Raw genomic sequence first — 18,746 nt, forward strand, 5'->3', positions numbered from 1 at the left:
TCTTCCTGCCTCAGCTTCCCAAAGTGCTGGGATTACAGGCGTGAGCCACCGCACCCAGCTGTCCTTGGGGATTTTATGAGTTAGATTGTATCTTCCTTTTCTGAAGATGGGGAATTTGGTGTTTAAGGCCACTTCCCATAGGGAGCAGTATTTACTGTATGCTTTTTTTTGTGGGGAGATGGATTCTCGCTCCGTCACCCAGGCTGGAGTGCAGTGGCGCGACAGCTCCCTGCAACCTTCGCCTCCCGGGTTCAAGCGATTCTCCTGCCTCAGCCTCCCGAGTAGCTGGGACTACAAGTGTGCGCCACCACACCCGGCTGATTCTTGTATTTTTAGTAGAGATGGGGTTTCACCATGTTGGCCAGGCTGCTCTCGATCTCCTAACCTCGTGATTCGCCCCCCTCAGCCTCCCAGAGTGTTGGGACTACAGGCGTGAGCCACCACACCCAGCCACTGTATGCTTTTTACCAGACTCTATATCCACCTGGCTGAGGGAGGGGAAATGGAAAGGTTAGAGGGGTTCCTCCAGCTTGAGTCTCCAGCTTTGGGTATATACTGGGAAAGAGAAAGGCCTTCCCCCCCTTTCTCCCCCATTTCATCTGCTGCTGCTCTCATGGAAACCATGGTCAGGTAGTCTTAGTATTAGAAAAATTAGTTCAGGAGCTCCTAGAGATTGTAAATATTTACTCAGCTCTCTAAGGTACTGTCATGGAGGGCTTACTCTGAACAGAGCCATTCTGCCAGCAGTTGTTGGCATCTGAACCTATGATTCTATCTTTACTAAGAGACTCTGGAGACTAGGGGAAAAGCGTTGCTATTACTTGATTGTAGGGATCTGGCTTCCTGTGGCTTTCTTTGAAGGGACATGGTCCTTTGTCACCCTGAATGATTTGTAATCAATTTTCCCATCCCTGTTTGGAAAAGTAATTTCTGTAGTCCAGGAAGAGTAAAGTATCCTTTATACTTCTTGTTGCCTGTGAACAGAAAGGACTGGGCCTCTCATTTTTTCCTCATTGCAGTTATCCACCCATCCAAATTCTGGACTCTCACTTTCTACAACCTTAGCTGAGCCTCTCTGTTCCAAGAGGCCACTTTGCTCCTTCACTGAGCAGTGACCCATAGAATTGACTCAGGCCTCTGAGCAGAGCTCACGGGAGCTAGGGAAGGGGCCTAGAGAAACTGTTCAACCCAAGGTCTCTCAGCAATAGATCATTGCTGGAGGCTCAGCTAGCCCTTTGTGTAGCCAGCTTTGCAGGATCTGGTAGAGGGTACATCATTCAGGCCCCTCCCTCTCCCCTACCTTTTCCTCTTGTCTCCTAGAAGGCAAAAGTTTACAGAGAGTAGATAGGAGAGAAAGCTTTTTAGCCTGGTCAGGAATTTATTCATGTCCTGTGGTAGGAGTTTTCAGGAATCTTTAAGGCCATCCCATTAGAATAGAAGTAGTGTCTGGGAGTGGAGAGGTTTTAGTTCTCTAAATTTAGTTGTGCAATTGCTGAGCTTCCCGCAAATTGAATAGTTTTTGTTTTGTTTTGTTTGAGACAAGGTCTTGCTCTGTCACTCAGGCTGGAGTGCAGTGGCGTGATCATGGCTCACTGCATCCTCAACCTCCTGGGCTCAAATGATGCACCCACTTCAGCCTCCCAAGTAGCTGGGACTATAGGCACGCCACCACACCCAGCTAATTTTTAACATTTTTTTTGTAGAGACAGCGGCTTCACTATGTTGCCTAGGCTGGTTTTGAACTCCTGTCCTCAAGTGATTCCTCCCCACCTTGGCCTCCCAAAGCGCTGAGATTATAGGCATGAGCCACCATGCCTGGCCACAGATTGAATAGGTCTAATTTAAGTGAGGCTGTATGCTAGGTGCTTTCACATATGTCATTTTGTTTAATCCTTACAGCAACCTTGTGATAGAGGCATTATCTCTGTTTTGAGGGGTTTTGAGTGGCTAAATTACCCAAGATTAGCCTAAGGCTGGCAAGTGTGGAGGGTTCTTTCTATGTTATGCTTCCTGTCAGTTTGCTTATTAGCTAGCTGCTGTTTGATTTTGCTTGCCTTTCCTCTCCATTGATTCAGCAGAGATTTTTCCCTTTGGTAGGAAGGAATATCTAGAATTTTAGAATGCTGTGCCACTCCTTGTTCACCATCTCCTTCTCCTCTGAAACCGTTAACCTAGGCTGTGTACAGGGCTTCCCCCAGATCTCCTAGTAAGAGCAATCTGAACCTAGCAGCTGGATGTAATTGATTCCCCAGTCCGTGATAATTGTCTTGGGTAGAGAGGGATGATTTTTGAGACAGGGCCTTGCTTTGTCACCCAGGCTGGAGTACAGTGGTGCAATCACGGTTTATTGCAGCCTACAGCTCTTGGGCTCAAGTGATCCTCCTGCCTCAGCCTCCCAAGTACCTGGGACTACAGGTGCACACGACCATGCCTGGCTGATTTATTTAGTTTTTGTAGAGATGGGGTTGGGGGGGTCTCTTTCTGTTCCCCAGGCTAGTCTTGAACTCCTGGCCTCAGGTGATCTACCTGCCTCGACCTCCCAAAGTACTGGGATTACAGGCGTGAGCCACTGTGCCTGGCAAGTGGGATAAGATTTAAAAACAGAGGAAGCCCAGCTGGAGGGTTTTCCTTCCCTCCCCTTATCATATAGGAGGTGGACTAGGTAATACTGGATCTCAGAGCTTGTGGGAGAGGTGGGCTGTGAGAATCATAGCTCAGCCTTCATGTGACCTCACAGCTCCTTTTCACAAGTACACAGGTGCTTTTTATTCAGGCTGAGCTGCCAATCTGACCTAATTTGGAGCATAGTTAGACCTGATATTAAGTTGTAATAAGTGGCTTGGGGCTTATTTTAGCTTGAAGTTTTATAGCTATGGGAGCTACAAACACTTGCCTTGCCTTAACACTCAGTTCTACTCTGTGCCACCTTATGCTCTTACACAGGATAGACATAGGCAACCTGAGGATAATGGTAAAGGAGAAGCATGATTGTCTTTTATCCTTTTTTTTTTTTTGAGATGGAGTCTTGCTCTGTCACCCAGGCTGGAGTGCAGTGGCGCAATCTTGGCTCACTGCAACCTCTGCCTCCCAGATTCAAGCAATTCTCCTGCCTCAGCCTCCCGAGTAGCTGGGATTACAGGCGCATGCCACCACACCCAGCTAAGTTTTGTATTTTTAGTAGAGACGGGGTTTCACCATGTTGGTCAGGCTGGTCTCGAACTCCTAACCTCATAATCCACCCTCCCTCTGCCTCCCAAAGTGCTGAGATTACAGGCGTGAGCCACCGCGCCCAGTCCAATTGTCTTTCATTCTTTTTTTTTTTTTTTTTTTTGAGACGGGGTCTCCCTCTGTCGCCCAGGCTGGAGTGCAGTGGCACAATCTCGGCTCACTGCAAGCTTCGCCGACCGGGTTCACACCATTCTCCTGCCTCAGCTTCCTGAGTAGCTGGGACTACAGGCGCCTGCCACCATGCCCGGCTAATTTTTTGTATTTTTTTTAAGTAGAGGCGGGGTTTGACCTTGTTAGCCAGGATGGTCTCTATCTCCTGACCTCATAATCCTCCTACCTCAGCCTCCCAAAGTGCTGGGATTGCAGGCGTGAGCCACTGCACCTGGCCGTCTTTCATTCTTAAACCTCTATCCTATTATCCATATTTGTCAGTTCTTCAAAATGCTGTGATAGAACCACTTCTCAATAAGATGTGTGGTGATGACCTCTAAGATCAGGTAGAAGTAAACCAGCCTTCCTTTGTCCTTCTTTTGCCAGAATCATTATCACTGGAAATTGGTTTTTCTTAAACAGTTTTTGGGTTAATCCTCAAGATAAAGTTTTAAAAGGACTCAGGAAATAGTTTAGGTGGTGATAATGGAGAGGTTCATTGACTTACGAGTCGCATTTTGTCAGTATCTTACCAATATTGCTTCTTCTGAACAGGGACCAGTGACTAAGGTTCCCTTAGAATGTTGAACACATGACATGGTGGAGTTGAAACCAGAATGACTGTTGGGTAGGCTTTAATGCAGCTATTTTCATCCTTGTTTAACTGGAGACCCTGGTACTTTTTTTTTGGACAGAGTCTCATTCTGTAGCCCAGGCTGGAGTGCAGAGGTGCAATCTTGGCTCACTGCAACCTCTGACTCCCAGGTTCAGGCGATTCCTCTGCCTCAGCCTTCCAAGAGGCTAGGACTACAGGTGCGCGCCACCACACCTGGCTAGTTTTTGTATTTTTAGTAGAGACGGGGTTTTGCCATGTTGGCCAGGCTGGTCTCAAACTCCTGACCTCAAGTGATCCTCCCGCCTCAGCCTCCAAAAGTGCTGGGATTACAGACGTGAGCCACTGTGCCCGACCCCTGGTAGGTTTTCATTTGGCTTTTGGTGCTCTATTTTTCTTTCCTCACACTCTCATTGTTTTTAAAGTTTGTTCTTAACATTTTGGGGGGACATTTCAAATATAAAAAAGTAGAATAGTAAAATCTTCATGTAGCCATCACTCTGCTTCAGTACTTAACAGTAGATAGCAATCTTGTTTTATCTTCTTTCAGCTACCTCTGTATTACTTTGAAGCAAATCCAAGATATACAATTTTATCTGTAAACATTTTATATAAAGTCTATAAGAAAAGGACTTTTAAAAAACATAATCATAATATTTATATCATAACTAAAAACATTAACAATAATGTTCTGTTGCCCAGGCTGGAGTGTAGTGGTACCATCATAGCTCACTATAGCCTTGCCCTCCTGGGCTCAAGTGATCCTCCCACCTCAGCCTCCTGAGTAACTGGGACCACAGGCATGCACAACCATGCTCAGCTAATTTTTTTCTTATTTATAGAGATGGGGGTCTCCCTATATTGCCCAGGCTGGTCTCGAGCTCCTGGGCTCAAGCAGTCCTCCTGCCTCCCAAAGTGCTGGGATTACAGGTGTGAGCTACCGTGCCCAGCCCTTAAGCATTTTTGACAGGCCATTTGTTTTGTAGAATATCCTTCAGTTTGGGTTGTCTGAAATTTCTTCATAATTGGACTGAGTTTATGCATTTTTGGCAAGAAAACCATAAAAGTGATGTTATATCCTTTCAGTGCATCCTGTTAGAGGCACATAGTGTTAACATGTCTCATTATTTAGTGATATTAACTTTGATCACTTGGTTAAGGTAGTGTCCTCCAGGCTCTCCTACAGTGATTATTATATTCCTTTTGTAATTAATAAGTATTTTGAATCTATGTAATTATCTTCTTTCTCTGAAAAGTTTCACCTACTAGTTTTACCATCCATTGATGATGATATTTGCCTGAATCAGTTATTACTTTCACCATTTCATCTACATTTATTAGTTGGCATTGTACTGTAAGGAAGAGCTTTCCTTTCTTGTTTATTATGTATGTATCTATCAAAATGGACTGATGGATTCTCATTTTATTCGATAGATGATAATATTAAGTGTCTTTTTTTTTTTTTTTTTGAGACAGTGTCTCGCTCTTGTCATCCAGACTGGAGTGCAATGATGCCAACTCAGCTCACTGCAAACTCTGCCTCCCAGGTTCAAGCGATTCTCCTGCCTCAGCCTCCTGAGAAGCTGGGATTATAGGCGCCTGCCACCACGCCTGGCTAATTTTTTTTTCTTGTTTTTTTTGAGACGGAGTCTCACTCTGTCGCCCAGGCTGGAGTGAAGTGGCATGATCTCGGTTCACGGCAACTGCCACCTGCCGGGTTCAAGTGATTCTCCTGCCTCAGGCTCTCGAGTAGCTGGGACTACAGGCGTGTGCCACAATGCCCAGCTAATTTTTGTATTTTTAGTAGAGACAGGGTTTTTTCACCATGTTGGCTAGGATAGTCTTGATCTCTTGACCTCGTGATCCACCCGCCTCGGCCTCCCAAAGTGCTGGGATTACAGGCGTGAGCCACCGCGCCCGGCCGGAGTTTCACTCTTGTTGCCCAGGCTGGAGTGCAATGATGCAATCTCGGCTCACCTCGACCTCTGCCTCCTGGGTTTAAGCAATTCTCCTGCCTCAGCCTCCCGAGTAGCTGGAATTACAGACATGTGCCACCATGCCAGGCTAATTTTTGTAGAGACGGGGTTTCTCCATGTTCGTCAGGCTGGTCTCGAACTCCCCACCTCTGGTGATCCAACCCCCTCGGCCTCCCAAAGTGCTGGGATTACAGGTGTGAACCACCGCACCCAGCTAATTTTTGTATTTTTAGTAGAGACAGGGTTTCACCATATTGGCCAGGCTGGTCTCGAACTCCTGACCTCGGGTGATCTGCCCACCTCAGCCTCCCAAAGTGCTGGGATTACAGGCGTGAGCCACTGCATCTGGCCTAAGTCCCTTTTATTTTATTTTCTTTATTAAAATATATTTTTTTGAGACAGAGTCTCGCTCTGTCGCCCAGGCTGGAGTGCAGTGGCATGATGTCTGCTCACTGCAACCTCTGCCTCCCGGGTTCAAGCAATTCTCCTGCCTCAGTCTCCTCCTCCTGAGTAGCTGGGATTACAGGCGCACACCACCATGCCCGGCTAATTTTTTGTATTTTTAGTAGAGACGGAGTTTCACATGTTGGTCAGGCTGGTCTTAAACTCCTGACCTTGTGATCCACCTGCCTCGGCCTCCCAAAGTGCTGGGATTACAGGTGTGAGCCACCGTGCCCGCCCTATTTTATTTTATTTTTTTGAGACAGGGTCTCGCTCTGTCACCCAGGCTGGAGTGCAATGGCGCGATCTCTGCTCACTGCTGCCTCTGCCTCCCGGGTTCCAGAGATTCTCCTGCCTCAGCCTCCCAGGTAGCTGGGATTACAGGTATGTGCCACTGCGCCTGGCTAATTTTTGCATTTTCAGTAGAGACGGGGTTTCACCGTGTTGGCCAGGCTGGTCTTGAACTCCTGACCTCAGGTGATCTGCCCACCTCGGCCTCCTAAAGTGCTAGGATTAGAGGCATGAGCCACCACGCCTGGCCCTAAGTCTCTTAATATATGGGTTTCCCTCACTTTTTTTCTTGCGATTTATGTGTTAAAGAAATCAGGTCACCTGTTTATGGTTTCCACATTTTAGATTTTGCTGGTTTTATCCTCATGGTGACTTTATAAGTAAACTGGCAGCTAGATCAATGGGCATGATCAGGTTTGAATTGTTAAACTTTTAGGGGCCCAGAAGTACTTCCTAAGTGGTGTTATGACACACTGTTCATTTTTTCTCACCCCTTCCCAGAGATTGGAAAGGTGTATGAGCATTGTGACATCGATGACTGCTGGTGTCTCGGAGAGAGAAGCCAATGATGCCCTCAATGCGTATGTAAGTAGAATGCTGTCCCTGCAGCCACTGCTGCTGCTGTGAAGGTCTTGAAACATGGTCAAAAAGATGGAAAGACTAAGTGGTTGGGGGTAGGGGACTGAAATTCATCAAGTCTTGGCTCCCTGAATCAAATTTCTCAATTCTTCTCTTTTACTGTGGGAGCCTATCTCTTGGAGCCTTGGGCATCTTTCAGTACAGCTTTTTATTTTTATAGCAATGTGGTCTCGCTATGTTGCCCAGGCTGGAATGCAGTGATTGTTCACAGGCATGATTATAGTGCACTATAGCCTTGAACTTCTGGGCTCAAGCGATCCTTCTGCTTCAGCCTCTGGAGTAGTTGGGACTACAGGTGTGCACCACCACACCTGTCGTCCTTATCTCTCTTCTTTTTTTAAAAATCTCTTTTAAGAGAAGGAAATCATCAGATTTAAAAGTTGATTATTCTCCTTTGCATCTTCCTTAGGAGTCCCATGTTTTCTGGGAGAAACTGAGTTTGAGAACTTACTGCCTGTGAGTGACAACTAGTTTGTTTTCCTTTCTCACATTCCAGGTGTGCAAAGGCCTCCCCCAGCATGAAGAAATCTGCCTGGGCCTGTTTACTCTCATCCTCACTGAACCTGCCCAAGCCCAGAAGGTAAGGCACCCTGCTCTGGACCCATAAACCCTCCTCATATATGATCTGGGATATGGTGGAACTTACAGTTTAACTGGGGTAGTATGAAACTCTTCGACCAGAGCTGGATCACCTTGTTCTCCAAATATAGTTACAAGTCCCTTTTTACTCAGTGAATTGGTCATCCTCTGACTAAAGTCCTTTCTCTATCTCCAGATTCTGAAGCTAAATGGCAGTCATGAAAGTGAAAAAACAGAGTTTTAAATTTTAAATTTATGAGGCAAGGCTAAAAGGGTTGGGATTAAATCCAGGGAATAGAAGAGAACAATTGTAACCAAGTCCATGAGAGTTCTTATCCAGAAGAGCATGGCCTGTAGTTTGCAGATTCTGCCATTGGCAGGTGAATAGAAAGCAGGCTTAAAATTTTAGTAGGTAGGATTTAGATGAGACAGCTTAATGTTACATGATTGATGCAGTAAATAATGTAGTGATTAGGAGAACACTGGAGTATACTGGAGTCAGACTTCCTGAGGAATATTGTATGAAAACTTGTCTGGGGTTCTTCACAAACTGAAGAGTCCCCTTTATGTGGAACGGTTCAAGTAGGTTCCCTCCTTGAGGTGAGGGACTAGGCAGGGTGATCTCTTTGAATTCTGTGAGATAACTTGGATGTCAGAGATGGTGTCATTTGTTCAAGGGGAACCAAAGGAAAATCATTTCCGGGGATAAGAACAGGATGCTCATGGTTCCTTGGCATAGCTGCTTGAATTAACCTCAAGGGAAGGATTTATGGGCATGGGAAACTGATCTGTTTGTACTTCTGATGCCAGCTGGAATAGGGTCTGGGGTGAGGGTGGGCAGTGAGGCAGCAAGTATTCACAAATTCTTGGTTTCCCAGGAAAGCCAAGCCCATTCTGGGCTGGGACCTTGTCGAGTTAAATTGCTGTTTCATTTTTATACTGAATTTATCATCAAGATCCTTGAAGACAAATGAATGTTTCCAGTTGGGTGGTTTTAAAGAGTGATATGATCCAGTCCAGCACATCCATTTTAAAGAAATTGTTGGCAAAGATGAGAGTAGATGGGATGGAGTTAAAGTTTAACTTCCTCTTGTGTGGGTTTTTTAATCTCTGTGTGTGTGTGTGTGTGTGTGTGTGTGTGCGTGCGCATCATTGGCTGTGTGTGGGTTTTTATAAATACCATTCAAATTCCATTTAGTCATCTCAGTGCAAATTAGTCTTGCCTGCTGGAAAGTTTTGTTTGTTTGTTTCAGGTGATCTGAACCAACCTGGGTAAATCAGTAAACCTAAGTGAAGGGGGCAGAGTATGTGTGGTATTTCTAGCTCTTTGCCTGGCCTATCAGTAAGAGGCCACTGGGTTCTGCAGTGTAAATGCTTATTATGTCATGAATTTGGCCATCCAGACACAGCAAGAGACTAGAGTATCTCCTCTTCTTTTTGCCCTATAACAGCCCCATGTGGGAGGCCCAGGCCCTCTGGGGAAGTGAAGCATTTGCCTCGGGTCTCATAGCTGGTTGACACCTTTGCTAGCATTCATGTTCACATGCTAAAAGTTTCCAAGTAAATCCCCTACCTGTGAGCCTTCCTGGGCCAAGCCTCCAGGTCAGGCCTCTTCAGACAAAGGCAGTAAAGACAGAATTAGGAGGACACAGTTTTAGGCGGGTGAGGAACTATCAAGTAGTGACTCATTCAGAGACCTTGAGCCAGGTCAGAGCATGATGGAAGAATTAGTGACGTATCTCCCTAGAGCTTTGCTCCTTCTCCCTAAAAGGGTGATTATTTTGTAAAAATACTTCTGTCCTACAGAAGTTTTAGGTGGGAGTTACTGATGAGGACTGATTGTAATGCATCATTTTAGGCTTCAGCTTAAAGCAATGGGACTGTTTTCTAAGGATTTGTATTTGGGGTTAATTCTGCCTTTGGAACAGAAACCTCAGGATGTATTTGAGATTTAGTTGTTCTTGAATCTTCATGGGCTGAGATGGGAAGTGGATATGGTGGAGAAGTGTGGAAACTGAGTCTTGAACAAATAGAATACTGCTATAAGGAAGGTTGAGCTGAGGAGCCTCTGTTAGTACTGGCAGGCAGGTTCAAGGAGTTAGGGCCAACTCTCTGGGACTTAGTGGGTGGGATTAGGATGGATTGAACAGGTGAACAAGAGAATTCAGTTAAGGAGAAAGCAGGTCAGTATTGGGAAAGAGTAGAGGATGCATGGGGTGGATTTTGTCTCACTTGTACCTTCTTGATTTGCATCAGCCCTCTTGGCAGCCCTTAGGAATGTTTATATCCTTTGAGTTTATTTATTTTCTATTTGGTGTCTGAACTAAACAGCTGGGAGCAGGCCTGGCTGGGGAACTGTGGCAAGGAGGGAGGCTAAGGTAGAGTCCTAAGCTGTGCAGGTGCTGGCAGTCAATAGATAAAGGTAATGGGAAAGGGTCTAATGTCAAGGTCTGTCTTCATCAAAGGGTCAAGGACTCAGGCCCAGGCAGCTCTTGGTCTAGGTATTTCTCCCAGCAGGCAGCTCTAGAAAGAAGCTTGGGGGCTCTGGGGCCTAGGCTGACACATCACTGCTCTTGACACATTCAGGATAGATGCCATCCAGTCACCAGTCACTTTTACTTTTCTTTGAGACTCTCCACTTCTCTTTTCCTCACTGAGGGTGTGCATGTGCGTGTGTGTGTGTGTGTGTGTGTGTGTGTGTGTGTGTGTGTGTGTTTCATCTGCTGCTTTTCCAAGCTGGTCAGCAAACCGACACAGAGGTCGGTAACACAACTGGCAGCCTTAGGTGTATGAAACTCTCGGTTCTCATTTGTTACCAGCAGTTGTGGTTAGTAAAGATCCCAGATGGAACATGGAACTAGGCAGACAGTATCTGCTGTCTTCATCTGACCCTGTATCTCCTGAGAGAACTTGTCCTGCTTCCCTGTCCTGAGTCTGTTCTGCATTCATTTGAACAACAAGGTTCTTCTCTAGTTAGTAATGTCTGTCTTTGGCCTGACACAGATTTTCCCTCTGCCTCTACTTCCTTTGTCCTCTGCCCATTCTGTGACTTACCTCCAGGGGAGGGTCCAGGACTTAACTATCAATATTTGACAGTAATTCACTGGGACCCTTCATCTCTTTCTTGTTTCCTTATTTGTTTTTTTGGTCTCCCAACCATCAACCATCCCCCAGAGGGAGTCATTCTCTTTTGGGGATGAAGTTTATGGCACATGGAGGATCTCTCACTGTGGGTATTTTCATCATCAGTTGGTTTGACTTAACGACAATAGAGGCAGAAGGAAGTGGCAATAGCTAATCTGTTAGGAGTCTCTCAAGGCTAGAGAGCAGATGGTACTGAGGGGTACATTTCTTTTGAATGCATAGGATGAAAGAGTTTAGAAATGTTGCTGCACGGAGTGGCTCATGCCTGTAATCCCAGTGTTTTGGGAGGCCAAGACAGGAGAAAGGTAGAGTCTCAAAACTATTACAAACTCATACCGCTATTCCCAGCAGCCTCTTCTGGTTATTTCTAACGTTGATACAAGAGGTGGTTAAGCATGTTATAGAATTGGAGTGCCTGGATTTGAATCCTGGTTCTTCCTCTAATCTCTTATGTCATCTGGGGCAAATAACTTTTAAGCTCTCCATGCCTATTTCCTCATCTGTAAAAATAATTATAATAAGTAGTACTATTTTAAAAGGTTGTTATGTATATCAAATGCAGTAATATATACATATATATATATTATTGTTGTTGATGCCATCCTTGCTGTATTATTGCTTGCTATAGTATAACAACATCCTTGCTGTACTTTTTTTTTTTTTTTGAGACAGGGTGTCTCTGTCACCCAGGCTGGAGTGCAGTGGTACGATCTTGGCTAACTGCAACCTCCACCTCCTGGGTTCAAGTGATCCTCCCGCCTCAGCCTCCCTTGTAGTTGGGACTACAGGCACGTGCCACCACACGTAGCTAATTTTTGTATTTTTAGTAGAGATGGAGTTTCACCATGTTGGCCAGGGTGGTCTCGAACTCCTGACCTCAGATGATCCACACGCCTCGGCCTCCCAAATAGTGCTGGGATTACAAGCATGAGCCACCATACCCGGCCCTTGCTATACTATATGATTATTATTTTTGATGCCATCCTTGCTACTGGTCTTCAGAGGTTGTGGGAAGCTACCTGCCTAGTTTCTACTCTTTCTGATGAGATCCTGACGGGATAGAACTCAGCAGGCTAAGGAAGTTGCTAATGAGGCCCCCTAAGGTATTCCTCCAGGAGTCTGGTCTCACAATAGAGACAGAGTGAAAAAAAAAAAAAAACTAAGGGGGGAAGGGAAGCAATAATCTCACAGAAGAAATTAGCATGCCCTCCCTTACCTCCCCCAGGATTTGGTATGCTAAAGCACCTTTCCTTTTTCAATAAGTGGCAGAAGGAAAGGGCATCACAGAGAAAAGAATAAAGATATTTAGTTCAGCTGGGTATGGTTGCTCATGCCTGTAATTCCAGCTACTGAGGAGGCCGAGGTGGGAGAATCACTTGAGGCCAAGAGTTTCAGCCTAGGGAACATAGTGAGACCTTGTCTCTAGAAAAAACTGTTTTAAAAATTATCTGGGCGTGGTGGTGCATGCCTGTAGTACCAGCTACGCAGAAGTTCGAAGCTGCAATGAGCTATGATCATGCCACTGCACTCCAGCCCAGGCAACAAAGTAAGACCCCAAGTATAAAAAAACTAAAAATTCAAAAAAATATCAGTTTTGGTTCTGTCCTTAACTGTCTAGGGCCCTGCCCTGGATCTTCTTCCCTTACTACTCCCTTTGCTGTATCTGACTGGGTCAGTACTGGTCTAAAAACCTCTTTGGGATCCTTTTTGGCTTGTTCAACCAAACCCATTTTGCAGTGACCTTTTACTGACTGGCAGGTGAAAAGCAGATGGCCTCCACCTGGTTTTGCTCAGCCTGTGGCATCAAACAGTATGACACTTCCTAAGATGGGAAGTGGGGGGGACAGGGATAGTACTAGGAGCCTTGCCCAGCAGGCTTTTCTCTCCCCTGCCCCCGAGACAGAGTTTCGCTCCGTCGCCCAGGCTAGACCCAGGCTAGAGTGCAGTGGCGCGATCTCCGCTCACTGCAAACTCCGCCTCCCGGGCTCACACCATTCTCCTGCCTCAGCCTCCCGAGCAGCAGGGACTACAGGTGCCCGCCACCGTGCCCGGCTAATTTTTTTGTATTTTTAGTAGAGACGGGGTTTCACCGTGTTAGCCAGGATGGTCTCGATCTCCTGACCTCGTGATCCACCCGCCTTGGCCTCCCAAAGTGCTGGGATTACAGGCGTGAGCCACTGCACCTGGCTGCCCAGCAGGCTTTTCTGCCTCATTAAAGGATAACCAGTACCTTTTCCCCACTCTGTGTGACAGAACAAGGGATAGGTTGGGAATGCAGGACCCCTGTGGAAAGAAAGTGTCCAGAATGAAAAGTATTTCATTGCTACTCGGTGTCTTATTGGTGTTATTTAAGTTTAAGGGATTAGAGGGCAAGGGGTCCACTGTGGGTGGGGTGAGGACCTTATCCTCAGCTTGCTGGCTGATCACAAACTTTACTTCTCACAGTGTTACCGGGACTTAGCTCTGGTGAGTCGTGATGGCATGAATATTGTCCTGAATAAAATCAACCAGATACTTATGGAGAAGTACCTGAAGCTGCAGGATACCTGCCGTACTCAGGTAAGGCCAGAAAGAAAAGACAAGATCCAGCTCAAAGAGAGAGGATGGATCTTCTCTCTGTCAGGAACGGGAAAGAGGAATCAGGGCTAACACACCCCTATCATTGTGTGTCTAAATTGTAATGTGCTCCTTTCAGTTGTAATTGAATTAGCTCCCTTCTCAAACTCACAGTTCCTGCTCTTCATCTGTTTTTCCCTCTTTCCTTTAGTTGGTGTGGTTGGTACGGGAACTGGTGAAGAGTGGGGTTCTGGGAGCCGATGGTGTTTGTATGACGTTTATGAAGCAGATTGCAGGTGAGTTTGATGGCAGGAGCATAAAGAAGAAAGGAGGAGAGCCCAGAGACTACATAGAGACAATGGAGAATGATTAAGTGCCAAAGGGATGGAATTCTTGGATTGCTTAGACTGTTTCCTTCTGATACAGACATCTTCTGGCCACATATGTTGTAGAAATAAATTGATTGAAAAATCATGGGGGGCCTTTTAAAGCAGTAAGTCTTGCCTCATTTTCTTTCCTGCTAAACCCAGGGCTTGACAGAATATTTGGCCTATTTTAGCCAGTCTTCACTCTGAGATTTTATAGCATTTCAGAGCAGGAAGAAATGGGGAGAGAAGTGAGGGCAATTAATTTGTTCTCAAGTCCCTGTGCTTTCAGAAACCTAGACATCTTCCCTGGCTCCACCCCCATTATCTGAACGCTTGCTCCCTAATAATTAAGCCCTTTACTGGGGCCAGAATGAGGGACAAACTATGTCACAGAACAGACCCTGACATTTAGGTTTTATTCTCATCTTGGCATCGGTGACATCTGTCTGAGCTATCGCATATTCAAGCGGCTACTCCCAAGATTGCATGTGTTTGTTTAAAAGTGACCTGCTACTACCTCACCATTAGCCCACTGGGACTTGCTTCCTCTTTAAAATTTTATGTAACACTGATGCTCCTGTTTTGATGTGTATGAACCTTAATCTATGTGATATGTGACTTTGTGAACATTGAATTTTTTAATTGAGACCTGGGGCAAGGCATAGTTGTAGCTATTTTTATCCTCTTTCCTGGCACTTCTTCCCTGTTTGGCACTTCCAGCCCCTGCTTCTTATCCCAAGACTGGTATGGCATTGCTGTGTGTTAATTCTGCCCCACAGAGTTTCATAGCAAGCACTAAAGACTGTTACCTGGAAATAAGAAACTCTTGGCCTGTTGGGGGCCTCAGTGCAGGACTCAGGACATCCAGTTGCTAGACTGCAGCTGTTGTCAGCCACCTGTACTTCTCAGGCTCTATCTGAGATATCATCCTTTCTTTCCAACTGTGGGCTTCTTATATCTACTTCTCAGACGTTCATTTTCAAGGGCCAAAATGTTCCCACTCCAACTCACAATCTGTGGGAAAGTAGCAGCTCTGGTTTCTAGAAAAATTCAGAACCTTCCCTTTCCTTCTTTCTGGAGGCAAAGGGTGAAACTTTAAAGCCTGACAGAACAGAAGGCAGTTTATCTCAGCAGTGAAGGGATGGCAGTAATGGGATGGCAGTCAGGGTGGACCAGCAGAATGGGTGAAGAGATGTATTGGATTGGCTGACTTGCTAATCGGAGCTATTCTTTTTTTCCCCTTTTGAAATCAGGTGGAGATGTTACAGCCAAAAATATCTGGTTGGCAGAAAGTGTTCTGGATATCCTGACAGAGCAAAGGTAGCATCCACCACGAAGGGTGGGGTACAGGCCAGATAATGGCCATTAGGAGTGTGGGTGTGGGAAATGGGGATGAAAGGATTGTGTGGCCCAAGAACACCTTAAGTTAGAGAGGGGGAGGCAAGGAGAGGGAGAGACAAGTGTATTGTTGGCAAGTGAAGAAATTAATGCCCAAGGAATGAAGGAATGGGAAAGAGGTCTTTGCCAAAATATCGCATAGCCCAGAAAAACTGGCTTCATCTGATAAGGGTTTATTTTTGATCCAGACCTCCTTGGAATGTTTATCTTAGGGGGAAGTTGGGGAGGAATGAGCTCAGTAGAATTGGGCCAGCCAAACACCCACGCCTGGCAGGTATCCTTTTCTCCCCTGCAAGCTTCTCCATCCAACCCCTGCTCTTTTTGAAGTGGCACAGGGGGCAGTTGGGGTGGAGCAGGTAATAGAGATTAGTGAATCCTGCTGGAGTTTGCATATAGGGTTTGGAGGTTCCAGTGGTAGAGGGTGCATCAGGGGGTACATATTGGGCTTTCTGGCTGATTCTTTCCCTTATCCATCAAAATAAAGGGCCAGAAATTTTATGAGGGCTATTCCACATCTGAACTTGTTTGGAGGTGAGGCTTTCCCCTTGGTTTCAGTCTTCCTCTTGCTTGACTTCTAAGTCTCTTTTCTGATTGAGGACACCATAGTAGTCAAATGATTGAGAGGGCTAATAGTGTCCATACTATCTGTAGTTCAGAAGAATGGACCTCCTCCCAACGTTCACACTTGTGAAAGAGATGGCTGTGTGCTGTGCTCTGCCCAGGTCTGAGAGCCCTGCCCTGTCTGCTGTGCAGTGCCACCTAGTGCTCTGGGCACGGATGTGCAGCCACATCTGGGCCTGGAGCCACTTCTGTTATTGGTGTCATTGCACTAGCACGTGAGATCCTAACAGTCTCTTCTTACCAGATAGGTCTTTGTTCCTTTTTACTGTCCTGGGTCAGGGGGCCTTTCAACTCTTTCTTTCTCTTTATTATGCCATTCCAGGATTCAGGTAATTTCGTTACCTTTGCTAGCAATCTTTCTAAAAAGTGATTTTTCTTATTTTATTCGTGGTACCAAATACGTCCTGTCCCCATACCTTAAAGCTGAATTTCCTGTACAGGCATCAGATAACAGCCAGATAACTGCCCTGTTTTCTACCCTCCAAAAAACTTACATCTTTTGGTGAAAGTCAATACCTAGAAATTTAAAACTGTGTCCTCTCCTACACCCTCCTTCTCACTCCCTTCCAAATGTTTCTAGGGCTGTGGAGTTAAAAGGTAGCAGGTAGGGGAGGAAACGTTCCCCAGTAACCTTGGCTAGTGTATCCATTCTGTGAAAAGAAAAGGCCACAGAGTCTTTTAATTAGGTGGCTTGAGTAGTTTTCCGGAATCAGGATGTGGCCTGCTTGGACTAATTAAACACCATCTCATCTTCCTGCAGTTCCCTGCCTTCCAACAGGGGGGCCAAAGCCATTACAAATTGTTTGCTGGGAGGAGACAGCGTCTCAATTTTGTCACTTAGAGACAGGATTAGAGTTTTAGGAATATCCCCACTGTGTCTTTCTCTCTACTCCTTTTAAAGCAACTGGGAACAAATCTTTCATTACCCCCTTTTCCCTCAGGGATATTCTGAAACTCATGGGAAAAGGAGTTTGCCACCCAAAATCGGGTTCTTTTTTTCAGGTTGTGATTTAGGACAGGTGACTCATTGTGTGGGAGTGGGGACTCGTTGTGTATCAGTGACTAGATAGAGCCAGGGAAAGGTTTGTGGCATGGTGAGCTGCTAATGATAAGCAGACTGAGCTAGCACAGTATGTTCTCAAAACTCCAGGTCCTGAAAGGGTCTTGGCAGTCCCCACATGTTCTTGCACCACACTTAAGAACCACTGACTTAGGGACACTTACCCAGCTTTTCCCCATAGTCTGACCTGGGTAGATACTGTGGTTAATTCTGTCCCTAGTACCTCACATGTTGCTTGGCACATGATAGGCACTCAGTAAATGTTTGAATGAATGAGTCAACAAAGAGAGTTATTTTCTTGGAAGCTAAGTAGTTAGGTGGTAAAAAGAGATTGCTTTCATTTGGCACTTATCTTTATAGGCACTTGGAAGAGAAAATTAGGAAGTTGTCCGTAGCTTAGCCAGTTGATAGTCCAAGATAGATACTAGCATGAGTGAGCAAGCAAAAAATCAAAGCATCTACTCCCAGTGTCAAATCATCAATTATTTCTGAGGCACTGTAGCCAAGCCCAAGAAGCGTGAATTGGGAGGGTGAATAGTTCTAGACAGAGCATAGGAGCCAGTGTGTTTCCTCCCTGCAGGGAGTGGGTCCTGAAGAGCAGCATCCTCATTGCCATGGCTGTTTACACGTACCTCCGCCTCATCGTGGACCACCATGGGACTGCCCAGCTCCAGGCCCTGCGACAGAAGGAAGTAGACTTCTGCATCTCACTGCTTCGGGAACGGGTGAGGGAACAGGACAAAAATAATGTGGGGAAGTGAGACTCAGGCTAAGATACCTCTGGAGGTTTATGCAGTGGAGTCAGAAATACCTTGTTAGAGATGAAGGTGCATCAAGATCTGGTGTTTTCCATCATTCATCAACAGATGAGGGTAGAAAGGAGGGGGAGTTAGTGTAAAATAGCCCTAATTCCTAGAAATGCTACCTGTTAAGCTGGCATCTTTGGGATTTCCCTGGTCAGCTTCAAGGATACTGTTGTATACCACAGACATAAGCTGTCCTTGTGTGCCTACCATGACACAGTCCCCCACCTACTCTCCTGGGTAATTCCCATGGTCTAGTGGGATTATGAATTGTCCTCTATCAGACCTCCCATGTGGCAATTAAAAATTTTTTTTACTTTTTATTTTTGTAGATACTGGGCCTTGCTTTGTTGCCCAGGCTGATCTCAAACTCCTGGCCTCAAGTGATCCTCCCACCTCAGTCTCCCAAAGTGTTGGGATTATAGGCGTGAGCCACTCTGCCCAGCCTAAAATTAATGTTAGATAAAAAGTTAAAATTCACTTCTCTAGTTGCATTAGCTACACGTTGCTAATGGGTTTCATTTAGACTACACAGATATAGACATTTCTACCACAGAATCGGACCCACAGAATTAGATACTGCAGAATTTTGTTAGACAAAATAAGTTTGAGGTTAGGGTTTCTGGGGCTCAACTTGCCAGTCCCATCCTTTTGAAACTTTAATCTTCCTTGAACTGGATTGAAACAGTTCTGAGTGGAGAGGGAGGTAGATTAATGTGAAAGCCAGCAGGGCTTCAGCACTTCCCACTAACCTCTCATCCTTGATATCAGTCCCCAGCTTCCAGCTCTCTTCCCCTGAACAGCTAGGAGCCAATCCTTTGGTTCCAGAAGAAATCATAGTTTCTTCAACCCTCTTTCCTTCCCTCCCTAGAACATGTT

At 45.7% G+C, this 18,746-nt stretch overlaps 1 protein-coding gene across 2 annotated transcripts in view, besides 3 other annotated features; it reads left to right on the forward strand.

The window, feature by feature from the left end:
- The window catches only part of INTS3 (integrator complex subunit 3), a 46,759-nt gene that overhangs the window by 5,401 nt on the left and 22,612 nt on the right, over positions 1–18,746 (forward strand). For both annotated transcript variants that reach the window (NM_023015.5, NM_001324475.2), the window contains 6 exons: positions 7,201–7,284; positions 7,835–7,918; positions 13,507–13,620; positions 13,829–13,913; positions 15,239–15,305; positions 17,645–17,789. In NM_023015.5, the coding sequence (NP_075391.3) occupies positions 7,201–7,284; positions 7,835–7,918; positions 13,507–13,620; positions 13,829–13,913; positions 15,239–15,305; positions 17,645–17,789 (579 nt within the window). The remainder of the gene's footprint in view (positions 1–7,200; positions 7,285–7,834; positions 7,919–13,506; positions 13,621–13,828; positions 13,914–15,238; positions 15,306–17,644; positions 17,790–18,746) is intronic.
- Positions 297–796: an enhancer, noted in NCBI's record as "H3K4me1 hESC enhancer chr1:153706223-153706722 (GRCh37/hg19 assembly coordinates)". NCBI's record gives its function as "activates a minimal SCP1, AML or CMV promoter by ChIP-STARR-seq in naive and primed H9 embryonic stem cells {active_cell/tissue: H9 hESC(naive and primed)}" and the evidence as "EXISTENCE:reporter gene assay evidence [ECO:0000049][PMID:30033119]".
- Positions 11,325–12,064: an enhancer, noted in NCBI's record as "OCT4-NANOG-H3K27ac hESC enhancer chr1:153717251-153717990 (GRCh37/hg19 assembly coordinates)". NCBI's record gives its function as "activates a minimal SCP1, AML or CMV promoter by ChIP-STARR-seq in primed H9 embryonic stem cells {active_cell/tissue: H9 hESC(primed)}" and the evidence as "EXISTENCE:reporter gene assay evidence [ECO:0000049][PMID:30033119]".
- Positions 12,065–12,804: an enhancer, noted in NCBI's record as "OCT4-NANOG-H3K27ac-H3K4me1 hESC enhancer chr1:153717991-153718730 (GRCh37/hg19 assembly coordinates)". NCBI's record gives its function as "activates a minimal SCP1, AML or CMV promoter by ChIP-STARR-seq in primed H9 embryonic stem cells {active_cell/tissue: H9 hESC(primed)}" and the evidence as "EXISTENCE:reporter gene assay evidence [ECO:0000049][PMID:30033119]".

Source organism: Homo sapiens, chromosome 1 (genome assembly GCF_000001405.40).
Source record: "Homo sapiens chromosome 1, GRCh38.p14 Primary Assembly".
In the NCBI taxonomy this organism is placed as follows: domain Eukaryota; kingdom Metazoa; phylum Chordata; class Mammalia; order Primates; family Hominidae; genus Homo; species Homo sapiens.